This window comes from Homo sapiens, chromosome 17 (assembly GCF_000001405.40).
Source record: "Homo sapiens chromosome 17, GRCh38.p14 Primary Assembly".
In the NCBI taxonomy this organism is placed as follows: domain Eukaryota; kingdom Metazoa; phylum Chordata; class Mammalia; order Primates; family Hominidae; genus Homo; species Homo sapiens.
Window position 1 is genome coordinate 81,197,370 of NC_000017.11, and position 13,335 is coordinate 81,210,704.

Consider the following 13,335-nt stretch of genomic DNA (forward strand, 5'->3'; position numbering starts at 1 on the left):
GGACAAACCAACCCAGAGGACAGCAGGGCTCCAGAGGGCTGAACTATCCACACATATGGGCTCGTGGAGGCAGCTCGGGGCAGCGGGTAGGTGGGGGCAGTATGGGGAATGCGGGCCCTGCCACCTCCACCCTGAGAGACCCGTGGGGGGTGCTGCATAACTAGGTGGGTACATGGTGAGGGACCACCTCCTGCTGGGGGCCGGGTGGGGGCTGGCGAGAGACCTCCTCCCCCTGGGGGCCAGGTGCGGGCTGGTGAGGGGCCTCCTCCCCCGAGGGCCAGGTGCAGGCTCGTGAGGGGCCTCCTCCCACTGGGGGCCGGGTGCGGGCTGGTGAGGGGCCACCTCCTGCTGGGAGTCCAGCTGGTCCTGCCCAGACTTCTCCATCTCGTCCAAGAAGCTCATGATGCTTTGTAGCTTGGCCTCCGATAGCAGCGTCCCATCCTCAGGAGGTTCGGGGAACGCACTGAGTTTTCCAAATTTCTCCAAGTTGTCAGCTGTCAGAGAGCTGGCGTCATCCTCCTGTGGGACAGGAGCCCAGCATCGGGGGCTGTCAGGGCAGCCTGAGGACTTGGGTTCCCCAAAGGCAGAGGTGGCAGCTGAGGCTGGGCTCTGGGAGGGAGGGTTGTGACTAAAGCCAGGAGGAGCCTGTGGCATCCCCATTTTCCCAACCCCCACAGCCACCGCATGCTCTGTGTGAATGGCGTGGGTGGACAGACTGTGCAGGGCGGGCGCACACCGTGGTCACCTCGCTGGCCCAGGCGTATCTGCCCCTGTGATGGGTCCTGGGGCGGGGCAGCACGTCCGGCTCCTTCTCCAGCAGCTGCAGTGTGTGCAGCAGCTCCTCCAGTGGCCCCCTGGACTTGGCGCTCCCCCTGCTCGGGGCCATCATCTCCAGGTTGTCCCCAGCTGCATCCTGGGCAAGAACGTCCTGCAAAAGAGCAGGGAGACAGATGCAGCAAGGCTGCTGGTAGCTGAGAGCAGCCCCCACATAGGAGGCCAACCGCAGAGCCCCAAAGGCGCCGCGGGAGCTCCCCAGTCCCGACATTCAGCCCCAGGAAGGTGAGGCCAGGGCTCAGACCTTCCCACCCGGTCTCTGCAGCTGCTCAAACCCAGAGCAGCTCCAGCCACCAGGGGACTCCTCCCAGTGCCCCACTCCAGGAAAACAGGAGTGCAGCCACCTGGCCCCACCATTGAGCAGCCTGGGAGCCTTGGCTGTCAGGTCACCCCTCAGAGCCGGAAGCTCCTCTTTTGTGGATGAGGATGCAAGGCCCCCCACCCCAGGACATCTGCAAAAACCCAACTGGATCCACCCCAGCAAAGGCTCCCCAAGAGGCAGCCAGCACCATGCATCAGAGCAAGAAGACACCTCCTGGGTGGCCTCTCTGAGCTTAAGTGGCCCCTAGAGCAGAGGAGGGGCTGGGAGAAGCTCAGCTCAGGACACCCCTGGCACAGACATGGCCCTTAAAGCCAAAAACCATGATGGAGTGAAGGACAGCTGTGCTCAGACCTGCGTCCTGTCCTCTGGAGGCTGCTGTGGTTCTGGGGATGAGTCGGAGGTGGGCAGGCAGCGGTCTCCGGGGCCTGCAGCAGGGAGGCCACCACCTGCACAGCAGAACACAGCACCATTCCACAGGGAGCATCCCGGGGCGGGCAGCAACTCTGGAGGCACCCCCGGGAAGGAGCCAGGCATGGGGGAGGCGGAGGCGACCCCAGAAGCAGAGGAGCCGCTGGGGAGCCACGGCCTTCTGGGTGTGGAGCTGTGGAGGATGAGTGCCACCCCTCCCTTCCGGGCCTTCTACTCTGTAGGGATCCCTACGTCCAGGACCATTTGATTGTCAAGGTCTCGGCACCCTCGTCAGGTCAGCTGGGGGCCAAGGCCCCTAACTCCGAGGACTGGGGCCGCCAACATGGGCAGCAGCACAGGAGGCCGAGAGGAGGTCCACAAGGGCTGCACTTCCTTCCTGGCTGCAGTCCACCCCCCAGAGCAGGGCGGGCGTGGAGCCACTCTCACCAGTATTGTTGGCCTTGAGGGCCTGGTGGGCAGTGCCGCCTGGTGTGGGGGACAGCTCCTGAGCAGGCTGCCGCATTCCTGGCACTCTGGTCTCCCTGGGATTCTCAGGTGGCCCACGCTCGGCAGTGCTCGCCTTCTGGGCTCTCAGGGCTCGTTTCTGTTGCAGCTCCTGCAGTGGGAGCATCGCTGAGCACTGTCCCTGGGAGAGGACGACCCCAGGCTCCACAGCCAAGCTGCCCTGAGGCTAAGTGTCCCGGGGCCCAGGGAGCCCCAGCAGCAGCCCCGCACGGTCAGGCCTGGGCCACGGTGCTGCTCAGTGGTCCCTGCGCGGTCAGCACCTGAATGGCTGCTCGCCTGGCTTGGCGTGCCTTCTCCTCCCGGGCCTTCCTCCTGGCTGCCTCTTTCTGCTGGTGCAGGTCCAAGAGGGTCCCCTCGCCTGACCGCTGCCGCTGCTCCTGCCAAAGAAGCCGGTGCCATGTGGCGTTTACATCTGGAAGACGGAATCCAGACCCAGACCAGAGGTTTCCCCACAACGCCCTGGAGTCCCCTAGAGTTCGTGGAATCTCAGGGCCAGCAGGGAAAGTGAAACCCCACCAGGACCTTGAACCTGCCATTTCTCTGCTCTACAGAGGATGAGCCCTACGTCGCAGGTGGCCAACAGTTCTGGCGTGGGGGAGACAGCTCTGCCCCCACAGAACGTCCTCCTGAGACTCTCCAGCCTGGGATGGACCCAGCAGGCGTTTCCTGACACCCAGGCCCTGAGGACCGCCAGTGAGGACCACCCTGACTGTCCGCGGGGACCCAGGGTCAAGAAGGATGCTGCACCCAGAGACGGGGCCCACGAGCAATCCTAGGCTTTGATTCCACCTGTCCCAGAAACTCAAACCCCTGGGATTCTGGGCCAGACCCCCCGGGGGAGCATGGAGTGACTGAGACGCCCACACTGACCTCCCGCTTGGCCTGAAGCAAGTGCTCCAGGCGGGCAGCTCCTGCTCCGCGCCGCTGCACCTGGTGCCGGTACCAGCGCTGGATGGTGACAGTGGCCTGGTTCACCTGGTGGATAAACCTGCCCGGAGAGCAGGACTCAGGGCCAAGACAGGACCAGCGCCCCGGCAGGACCCAGCTGGCTGCTGGTGGAAGGTCGAGCCGGGGAAGAGAGAAGCCGGCGGCTGCACTCAAGTAGCCCTTTTCACAAGGCAGGACCAGCCCACCTGGACCATTTTCACATGGCAGGACCAGCCGCCTGGACCAGCTCCACTAAAACCCAAAACCTTCTTCCTGGGAAGGTGCCCAGGGGAGAGGAAACGCCTACCCACGCAGGCCTGTGTGGCCTTATTTACAATTGCCAGGAAGTGGGAAGAGTTCAAATGCCCATGACCTGGCTACAGCGTGAATACTGGATGGCGGGACCCTACCCACAGGCAACAGGCCCGGGACTCAGGCCAGTGCAGACCACAGGCCGTGGCTCCACAGAGAGGGTGGTCGGAACAGGCAGGGCTATGAGGGAACAGACTGGTGGCTGCTGGCATCTGGGCGGGGAAGGAGCTCGAGGGAAGCCTGGTGGTGCTGGGCCGTTTCCTTATCTTGGTCTGCTGTGTCCACAGACAGCACTATACACCCTGGTGGAATCTCATGGAACTGCACACTTACAATGGGCACCTTCTATTGTATACAAATTATACTAAGTAAAACTGATTAAGCAAAAAAAAAAATGCTTCACCTTGGCTCTCGGGACCATGTGTGGATTCTCTCAGCAAAGGCACTAACAGAGAACCCAGAACGTGTGAGCCCTAGCTCGGGAGCAGTCTGCCCCGGGCAGAACTGGGGGGCTTCAAGGGGTTGCGGGCTTCTGGTCCCCCTTCCCTCGTGCCACCCACCGCGTCTACAGGCCTGGTCTCCCTAGCCCTAACTGGGCGGTAGGGTAGGTGACGGCTCCGCCAGGAGCAGGCTCCGAAAGTCCAGGCAGGGAGGTACCCCCGCGACTGTCCTGACAAGAAACGACTGTCATGGTCACAGGAGGCTCCGCCCACAGCCCCTCCAGCTCCCCAGGGGCAAGCGGCAGGGGCACAGCCCCCAACAGTCATCATCACAGGAGGCTCCGCCCACAGCCCCTGGAGCTTTGGGTGTTGTTGGCTTTTTTCAGTTCTGTATCTTCTTTGCCTTTAATGTTGTTTTAATTAACAGTTTTACTGAGGTACAATTTCCATACTATAAAATCTACCCATTTTCAGTGTACAAGTCAATGATTTTTAGCAAATCTAGAGTTGTGTGACCATCAGCACAGTGCAGTTCTGGAATGTTCCACTGCCCCTGGAGGAGCCCTCTCTGCCACCCCTACACCAGCCTTCGACCTCCTGTGATAAACTTGCCTTTGCTTGGTGTTTTATGTAAATAGAACCACACCACATGGGGTCTGCTCGGTCTCAATATTTTAAAACAGGCCGGGGGTGGTGGCTCACGCCTGTAATCCCAGCACTTTGGGAGGCGGAGGCGGGCGGATCACGAGGTCAGGAGATCGAGAACATCCTGGCTAACACGGTGAAACCCCGTCTCTACTAAAAATACAAAAAATTAGCCAGGCGTGGTGGCGGGCACCTGTAGTCCCAGCTACTCGGGAGGCTGAGGCAGGAGAATGGTGTGAACCCGGGAGGCAGAGCTTGCAGCGAGCAGAGATCGCGCCACTGCACTCCAGCCTGGGCGACAGAGCGAGACTCTGTCTCAAAAAAAAAAAAAATTAAATTAAAACAATTATTAAATGGAAATTTCTATCCTCGGAGGTGTGAGCCCCCCAGACCCTGATGCCTGCCCACCTCTGTGTTCTAGGCTCAGGCCCCCCCCCACCGCCCCAAGATCGGTCACCTCTCAGCCTCCTCCTCCGTCACCTCCTTCCGCCTGGGCAAGCCCGTGCTGCCCCCAGTATTGTTCCGGGCTGAGTGGGTGGCACTGGAGACATTCTTCGGCAGCTTCCCAAAGCCGCTGCTCTCACTGCCCTCACAGGTGGCTGCCTTGATGATGTTGCTGACAGGTAAGAAGAAAACACCCTCGTCTCACCGCCCAGGGGAACAGCTCTGCCCACAGGCAGCAGGTGCCCACTCCCGGAAGTCCCAGGACTGAGCCTGGAAGTGGTGCTGGCAGGCTGGCAGCCGGGGCAGAGGGGGACAGCGGCAGGTGCGAGGCCGGCTCTCCCGTGCCACATCCTGGCCTCTGGACCACCTGTGCCCTGACAAGGTCCCACTCACTGGTACCCAGGATAATGAGCTCTTTGCATTTAAAAACTTCTCACTAAAGTTACATTGAGAGGCTGGGTGCCCTGGCTCACACCTGTAATCCCAGCACTTTGGGAGGCCAAAGCGGGCGGATCACCTGAGGTCACGAGTTCGAGACCAGCCTTGCCAACATGGTGAAACCCCATTTCTACTAAAAACACAAAAAAATTCGCTCGGCATGGTGGCGGGCACCTGTACTCCCAGCTACACGGGAGGCTGAGGCAGGAGAATCGCTTGAACCTGGGAGGCAGAGGTTGCAGTAAGCCGAGATCATGCCACTGCACTCCAGCCTGGGCAACAAGAATGAAACTCCATTTCAAAAAAAAAAAAAATTCCATTGAGAAAGTTCCCAAAAGTCACAGGAGTCCAGAGCCTGAGGGACCCCTGAGCAACCCCAAGGCCATCCCCAATCCCCGCAAGACCATGTGGTGGTGGACTCGGGGGCTCCTTTGCCCCGCTCGGTCCACCCCCGCTGTGACGCCTTCTGGGCTCTGCACAAGCCTTGGCTTCCTCCTGGGGGCCCCACCTCAGGGTGAGCCCCAGACCTCACTGTGCCACATCTGGGCTGTTTTCTCTCTGTGGGAAGCTGCCGACCCAAGAACAGAAGAGGGCGGCGGACGTGGATGGGGAGCCCGGTTCACAGCTGCTCCACGCGGTTTTACGTGCACTGACCACGTGCCCTGACCGAGGTTGGACCCCATGCACACTGACCGCATGCCCTGACCAAGGTAGAACCCTGTGTGAACTGACCGCGTGCCCTGACCGAGGTCGGACCCCAGGTGCACTGACTACATGCCCTAACTGAGGTCGGACCCCGCAGCCCCGCGGCCTCCCCAGAAGACCTTACTTGAGGGAGGGGGCAGTCTGGTTGGAGCTCTTGAGCGGAGGCGCCCTCTCCGAGGGGGTGTAGCGGTTGTGCACCATGGTGGTGACGCAGTTGCCCACTGCTCCCTTGTTGCTCCTGCCAGGCCGGAAGAGAGACAGGAATGGTCAGGCCTCTGGAGGGGACGCCTGAGATCTCAGAGCTACACTCGCAGCACGGGCTGGGAGGGAACAAAGGCCTTCAGTGCTTGCTACGTGCTGGCAGCATTGTCGTCCAGTGTCCCCAGGCCCCTTCCACAGCCTGCGCCCTGATGATGGGGTTCTTCCCAGGACAGGAAAGCTGGACCAGGGGCTCCCACGGGGCAGGGGATAGAATCGAGGCATGAACGCTGGACGTGCCCAAGACGGGGGGAGCAGCTCAGGCCAGCAGCTCACAATCAGCTTCCAGAGCAGACTCACAGAAGCGAAGCCCCATCCCACACGACGGATGGAAGCCACATTCTCTGCCTCTGCCCCTCCGCAGACCCGCAGGAAGGCGGGAGGACAGGACCAATACCGAGGCTGACAGGAGGGATGGGGAGACTGCAGGAAAGGGGCATCTGCAGACCTGGAGGATTAGAAACAGAAGGGCCAGCAGAGAGCAACTGGGACACAAGGGAGGGTCCAGGCATTGTGGGGAGGGAGGGCGAGGAGCTGGCAGGTCCCGTGCCCCCACGGAGACACACTGTTCTCCCACAGGCATGGACAGGCTTTGAGGCAAAGGGGAGAATCTGGCTGCTCGGCAAAGCCCCTTCCCTCACTTGAGCCGCTAGCATCCACCCTGCCCTCCCCAGCTGGCCCTGCAGGTGGGGCAGAGATGGGTGATTCACCCAGGACAGCCACCGCCACCCCTCCCCAGCAGTGCAACCGGGCAGCCAGGACTCGAACCCTGGGGCGGGCTGGGGGTTTGTCTCTGGAGAGACTCAGCCTGTGAGGAGGGTCCCACAGACACTGGTAGGTGGGGATACTCAACAATGCCTTGCTCTCTGCACCAGTGCCCCGAAGTGAAGCCACCAGGCAATAGGCTTCCAGCTAACTCCTAGGGCCTCCCTTTTAACAAGAACCACCAAGACATCTGGGCAAAGACCAACATGTCAGAGGCCCAAAATCAAACCAACAGAACATGATGGGAATGAGGATAAGCAGAGAGCAGAGCAATGCACGAAACCTGCTCCTGCACCAGCCTGCACCTGCACCGGACCACACCTGCACCAGCCTGCACCTGCACCGGACCACACCTGCACCGGACCACACCTGCACCGGACCGCACCAGGCACCAGCCCACGCCCAGCACCAGCCTGGCCTGCACCTGGCACCAGCCTGCACTCACAAACGTTCAACAGCTGGTTCTTGGAGCGCGGCTCATCTGCCAATTTGGGTGGTGTGAATAACCTACCAGGACTGATTTTGAGCTGTTCAGGAATGAGCAGCATGGCATGTATTCATAAATGTTTTCAATAAAACACTAAATGGCCGGGCGCAGTGGCTCACACCTATAATCCTAGCACTTTGGGAGGCTGAGGCGGGTGGATCACAAGGTTAGGGGTTCGAGACCAGTCTGGCCAACATAGCGAAACCCCGTCTCTACTAAAAATACAAAAATTAGCCTAGTGTGGTGGCACACGCCTGTAGTCCCAGCTACCCAGGAGGCTGAGGCAAGAGAATCACTGGAACCCGGGAAGCGGAGGTTGCGGTGAGCCGAGATCACACCACTGCACTCTGGCTTGGGCGACAGAGCGAGACTTCGTCTCAAAAACAAAAACAAACAAACAAAAAAACACCAGAAGAAATAGCTTGAAAAGATGCTGCTCCTCAGGGGCAGGCGCCAGGGGTAGGAGGGGCGGCAAGAGTGTGGGTAGGAGGGGCAGCAGTGGGGTAGGAGGGGCAGCGGGGCAGTGGGTGGGGGGTAGGAGGGGCAGCGGGATGGGGGTAGGAGGGGTGGGGGGGTAGGAGGGGCGGCGCGGGGGTAGGAGGGGCAGCGGGAGGGGAGGTAGGAGGGGCAGGGGTGGGGAGGGTAGGAGGGGCAGCACATTTTAAGCCTATGGTGCTGTTTGACATTTTGGCTGTGTATGAACATATAACTGATAAATACTAAGGTAAATTTTAGGACCAGGTGTGGGGGCTCAAACCTGTAATCCCAGGGCTTTTGGGGAGGTCAAGGAAGGAGGATTGCCCGAGCCCAGGAGTTTGAGACCAGCCTGGGCAACACAGCGAGACTTCATCTCTACAACAAATTTAAAAATTAGCCAGGAGTGGTGTTGTGCACCTGTGGTCCCAGCTGCTCCGAAGGCTGAAGGGGGAGGATCTCTTGAGCCCAGGAGGTAGAGGCTGCAGTGAGCTATGATCGTGGACTCCAGTCAGGGTGACAGATGAGAACCTGCCTCTAACTTAAAAATAAATTAAAAAGCAAGAATTGAGCTGGGTGCAGTGGCTCACGCCTATAATCCCAGCACTTTGGGAGGCCAAGGCGGGTGGATCATGAGGTCAGGAGATCGAGACCATCCCGGCCAACATGGTGAAACCCTGTCTCTACGAAAAAAATACAAAAATTACTCGGGCGTGGTGGCGTGGTGGCACGTGCTTATAATCTCAGCTACTCGGGAGGCTGAGGCTGGAGAATCGCTTGAACCAGGGAGTCAGAGGTTGCAGTGAGCCGAGATCATGCCACCGCACTCCAGCCTGGTGACAGAGCAAGACTCCATCTCAAAAAAAAAAAGGCAAGAATTCTTCCTGTGCCAACCCTGGAGAATAACCACACGGTCTCTCCCCTGAGACTATTCCCTTGGCAAAGGCTCTAAATGCCGGAGGAAAAATGTGTCCCCAATCCCTTCCACTCATGGGTCCCCTGAGGCCTAGCCCAAGGAGCCCACACTCTCCTTGAAGGCTCAGAGGCAGCTGCCTGGAGTCTATTTCTTTTGGAGCTTCCCCAGGACCCCCTACAAGCCTCCTCAGCCAAGGCCCCTCCCCAGGCCCCACCCTCTCAGCCCCATGTGAGCCTCCCCAAGGCCTGAAACTCTTTAAGAGCAAAGCCTGGGCCGAGAGCCCCTTATGTGCAAGACGCCACCTGGCAGCCTCCTGCCTATGCCCTTGGGAATGAAAGCCATTCTTTCACTCACTCACTCATTCATTCATTCCAAAGCACCCTGAACGAGCCATAAACAAGACAAAGACACACACAGTCTCCACTCCAGGAGCTTCCCACTGGTGCCCGTCGTGGGCACCTGCACAGGTCGTACCTGTTGTTAGCAGTGAAGTTGGGGGCCAGGGCCACGGTGCATTCTTTCCTCCGCGGGCCCGCTGGTGAGTCAAGGGCACTGGAACTCCGGGCATTGGATGGCAAGGTGAAGCCCCGGGGCTGGTCATCCTGTCAGACAGCTCAGCCCATGACACCGCCCGCACACACCCAGACACCCCATCCCTTCCCTGCCTCTCCCACAAACGGGAGGAGCCACCAACTTCCCATACAGACAGGTGGATGTCCTGGGGTCTGCCATGTCAGATCTAAGCTTGACACCCTCCCTGCAGTGCCCTTTTGCAAAGGCAGTGAGAACAAATTAGGAACCAGGCCACAATCCCATCACAGAGACCAGGACGTGGGGCCGCATGCACCACCTTACCAGGACGTTCCAGGTGGCTCCCTTCTCGCTGGGGGCTGTGCTCAGGCTGGCAGGCCTCTTTTTCCCACTGGGGCTGCCCTCGAAGAGCATCAGGAAGTCTGTGGGCTCCGTTGGCCTGCATCCGAGAGAGGGCGGCACACAAGGAAAGAGTCACCAGCCGGGAAGCCGACGCTAGGCACACAGACCAGGCAGGTCCCGCGAGGACAGAGGGGCTGAGGCACTAGCAGCAACTCTGTTTCTAGGCCCAAAGCCCCCATCTGACCACTGTGCCTGGCCAGGGTTCCTCAGTGGAGCTGGGCGTTCAGGGTGAGCTTCCATCAGAAGCTTCATCAGTCACACCGATCACAGTTTCTGGGGACAAGGGCCTTATTTGTTTTTTCTTTTCTTTTTTTTTTTTTTATGTTAGTAGAGATAGGGTTTCGGCTATGTTGCCCAGGCTGGTCTCGAGCTCCTGGGCTCAAGAGATCCTCTCACCTTGGCCTCCAAGAGTGCTGGGATTGCAGGTGTGAGCCTGCACACCCGGCTGCCCACCGAGGGCCTTAAATACCGTGGCTGCCTCTGCTGCCACCCTCTTCCCTGTGAACCAAGAGCCACACCTGCTGCTGCTCAGAGCAGAAGGGGAAGCACAGCTGGAAGGCATGGGCTGGTGGCCAATCCCCACTGCCACCCTGCCCCATGGGAGGCCACAGCTGCGCCGAACACAACTGATCAGGTGGGATCAAAACCGTGGCCTGGCTGAGGGTGGTGACACACCAAACACACCACACACACACATACACCACACACACCACATAACACACACACCACACACCATACACCACACACACCCCATACACACACACACACCACACATGCACCACTCACAAACCACACCCCAGACACACACCACTCACACCACACACCCACACACCACACACCCCCCACACACACCACACTCACACCACACACCCACACACCACACCACACACACACACTTATGCCACACACCCACACACCACACACATACCACACACACACACCAGCTGGCCTTGGCAGTCCCTTGCTTGGTGGGACTCCACGAAGCTAGTTGCTGAGCTAAGAGCGGCTCCCGGAGGCTGCACTGGATAGGGTGTGGTGGCCGCAGTTCTTGGTCTTCCCAGGAAGGGTCCACCCGGGGCCCTTGGTGACCCAGAACTCAGCCTTCATTAGGTCCACGGCCCCACAGGAGCACCCTGCTCGCTCGGGGACAATGCCTGGTGGGAGGTGGTGTCAGGACCTCGCCCACCACTCTGGGCTAGAGGATGTCCCCCCGGAGGCTGCTGGCCACCACCGGCTCCACTCCCCACAACACCCCCACTGGGGCCATTGAGGCAGCTCCTCCCCAGCCCGCTGGTTTGGAGGCCGCAAGGGACAGTGGCAGGGTTTAAGTGGGCAAAGGTGGGAACAGGGGCGCACAGCGTGGGGGTTCAGAAGGGTCACAGTGCTGCCCCTCTCGCAAATGACAGCTTTTGACATTCAGAGGGCAGGTGGAAAGGGCTTCAGCGGAGCCCTCAGGCAGGGTCCCAGCAGCCGCCGGGACAGCAAGGAGGAAGGGAGGGATGCAGTGCAGGAGAGTGTCTGCCTCAGGCCTCCCGCCCCAATGCGAGAGGAGGCCTGGGACACAAAGCTGGCCCGTGAGGTCACTCCAGGCCTCACTAGCCAGCAAGGGCCCGGGACCCAGGAGGCTGGAGGAAGGGCAGAGCAGAGGCAGGGAGGAGCAGGCCAGGGTGGGGCACCTGAGGTCCCGGGAAGGGGCCAGGGTTATCCAAGGGCCTTAGGGGTTACCTGGGGGAGCCGCTCCGAGGCTGGCTGACCTGCGTGGTGCTGTTGGATCTTCTAAGGTTGTTGATGGCCTGGGAGCCCCCAGGCCCTGTGGCCTCCTGCAAAAAGGGAGAAAACAGTTAATTATGCAGCAAAGGCTCACTCACCAGTTTGCTCAGCCTCCGCCAGCTTTGGAGAAACGCAGTCAGAGAACAGAGGGGTGGCCCTAGGGTTACAGGTGGCCCAAGTGGCCTCAAAGGCAGTGGGTGGTCAGAGGGGCAGGAGCACTGGACAGCAGGGCAGCGCGAGGGGGGCTCAGGCCCGACCTCTAAGAGCTTCCCCGTCCCCGCATCAAGCAGGAGCCCTTCACCCCTGGCAGAGGGAGGGCGGGAAGGGAGCTGCTCACTGTCACCCACCAGCTCCCAGGAACCGCGAGCTCCCACCTTCAGTGGATGAGAACCCCTGGGGACCCTTCACCCCGCGGTCTCCTCCGTCAGCAGGGTGGGCACCCAGAGCGACTCTGTGGGGTCACGATGAGGACTAAGGAGACGCAACCAAGACCAGGTGCTGCAAGACCTGGTAGTGAGTGCAGCCAACTGCCCAGCGGTTCCAGGTCCGTGGAAAGGGGTGGAGGGGAGGCTGCGCAGCAGACACTAAGCAAGGATCAGAGCGCTCGGAGAAGCGGACGCTAAGCGAGGATCAGAGCGCTCGGAGAAGCGGACGCTAAGCGAGGATCAGAGCGCTCGGAGAAGCGGACGCTAAGCGAGGATCAGAGCGCTCGGAGAAGCGGACGCTAAGCGAGGATCAGAGCGCTCGGAGAAGCGGACGCTAAGCGAGGATCAGACCGCTCGGAGAAGCGGACGCTAAGCGAGGATCAGAGCGCTCGGAGAAGCGGACGCTAAGCGAGGATCAGAGCGCTCGGAGAAGCGGACGCTAAGCGAGGATCAGAGCGCTCGGAGAAGCGGACGCTAAGCGAGGATCAGACCGCTCCGAGAAGCGGACGCTAAGCGAGGATCAGAGCGCTCGGAGAAGCGGACGCTAAGCGAGGATCAGAGCGCTCGGAGAAGCGGACGCTAAGCGAGGATCAGACCGCTCGGAGAAGCGGACGCTAAGCGAGGATCAGAGCGCTCGGAGAAGCGGACGCTAAGCGAGGATCAGAGCGCTCGGAGAAGCGGACGCTAAGCGAGGATCAGAGCGCTCGGAGAAGTAGCGCTTGGGGAAGTGGCGCTCGGGAAAGTGGCACTCATAAGTACCTTACGCTACGCTCCCTGACTTTCCTGTAGGCTTAAAAACCCTCCAAATCGGCCAGATGCAGTGGCTCACGCCTGTAATCCCAGCACTTTGGGAGGCCGGGGTGGGCAGATTACCAGGTTAAGAGATGGAGACCGCCGGGCGCGGTGGTTCACGCCTGTGATCTCAGCACTTTGGGAGGCCGAGGCGGGTGGATCACGAGGTCAGGAGATCAAGACCATCCTGGCCAACATGGTGAAACCCCGTCTCTACTAAAAATACAAAAATTAGCTGGGCATAGTGGCGGGTGCCTGTAGTCCCAGCTACTCAGCAGGCTGAGGTAGGGGAATTGCTTAAACCTGAGAGGCGGAGGTTGCAGTGAGCCGAGATTGGGCCACGGCACTCCAGCCTGGAGACAGAGCGAGACTCCGTCAAAAAACAAAAACAAAAAACCCTCCAAATCAAACATTTCAGGGGAAAGGGCTCACAGTCCAGTGGGAAACGGTCTGGGGAACACCACCGGATGCCACTGGATGCCACGGCGACCAGTGATATAGATCCTGGCCAGGTG

At 60.1% G+C, this 13,335-nt stretch overlaps 1 protein-coding gene across 20 annotated transcripts in view; it reads right to left on the minus strand.

Moving 5' to 3' along the window:
* The window catches only part of CEP131 (centrosomal protein 131), a 33,370-nt gene that overhangs the window by 7,774 nt on the left and 12,261 nt on the right, over nucleotides 1-13,335 (minus strand). For 10 of the 20 annotated variants that reach the window (XM_047435665.1, NM_001009811.4, XM_047435662.1 and 7 more), the window contains exons 3-13: nucleotides 11,559-11,653; nucleotides 9,756-9,870; nucleotides 9,375-9,502; nucleotides 6,125-6,238; nucleotides 4,871-5,029; nucleotides 2,960-3,077; nucleotides 2,350-2,466; nucleotides 2,012-2,180; nucleotides 1,508-1,602; nucleotides 746-928; nucleotides 343-519 (exon numbers count right to left, since the gene is read on the minus strand). In XM_047435665.1, the coding sequence (XP_047291621.1) occupies nucleotides 343-519; nucleotides 746-928; nucleotides 1,508-1,602; nucleotides 2,012-2,180; nucleotides 2,350-2,466; nucleotides 2,960-3,077; nucleotides 4,871-5,029; nucleotides 6,125-6,238; nucleotides 9,375-9,502; nucleotides 9,756-9,870; nucleotides 11,559-11,653 (1,470 nt within the window). Of the gene's footprint in view, nucleotides 1-342; nucleotides 520-736; nucleotides 929-1,507; nucleotides 1,603-2,011; nucleotides 2,181-2,349; nucleotides 2,467-2,959; nucleotides 3,078-4,870; nucleotides 5,030-6,124; nucleotides 6,239-9,374; nucleotides 9,503-9,755; nucleotides 9,871-11,558; nucleotides 11,654-13,335 lie in introns of all 20 variants that reach the window. The other 10 variants (XM_047435663.1, NM_001319229.2, XM_011524553.3 and 7 more) reach the window with 1 other exon arrangement.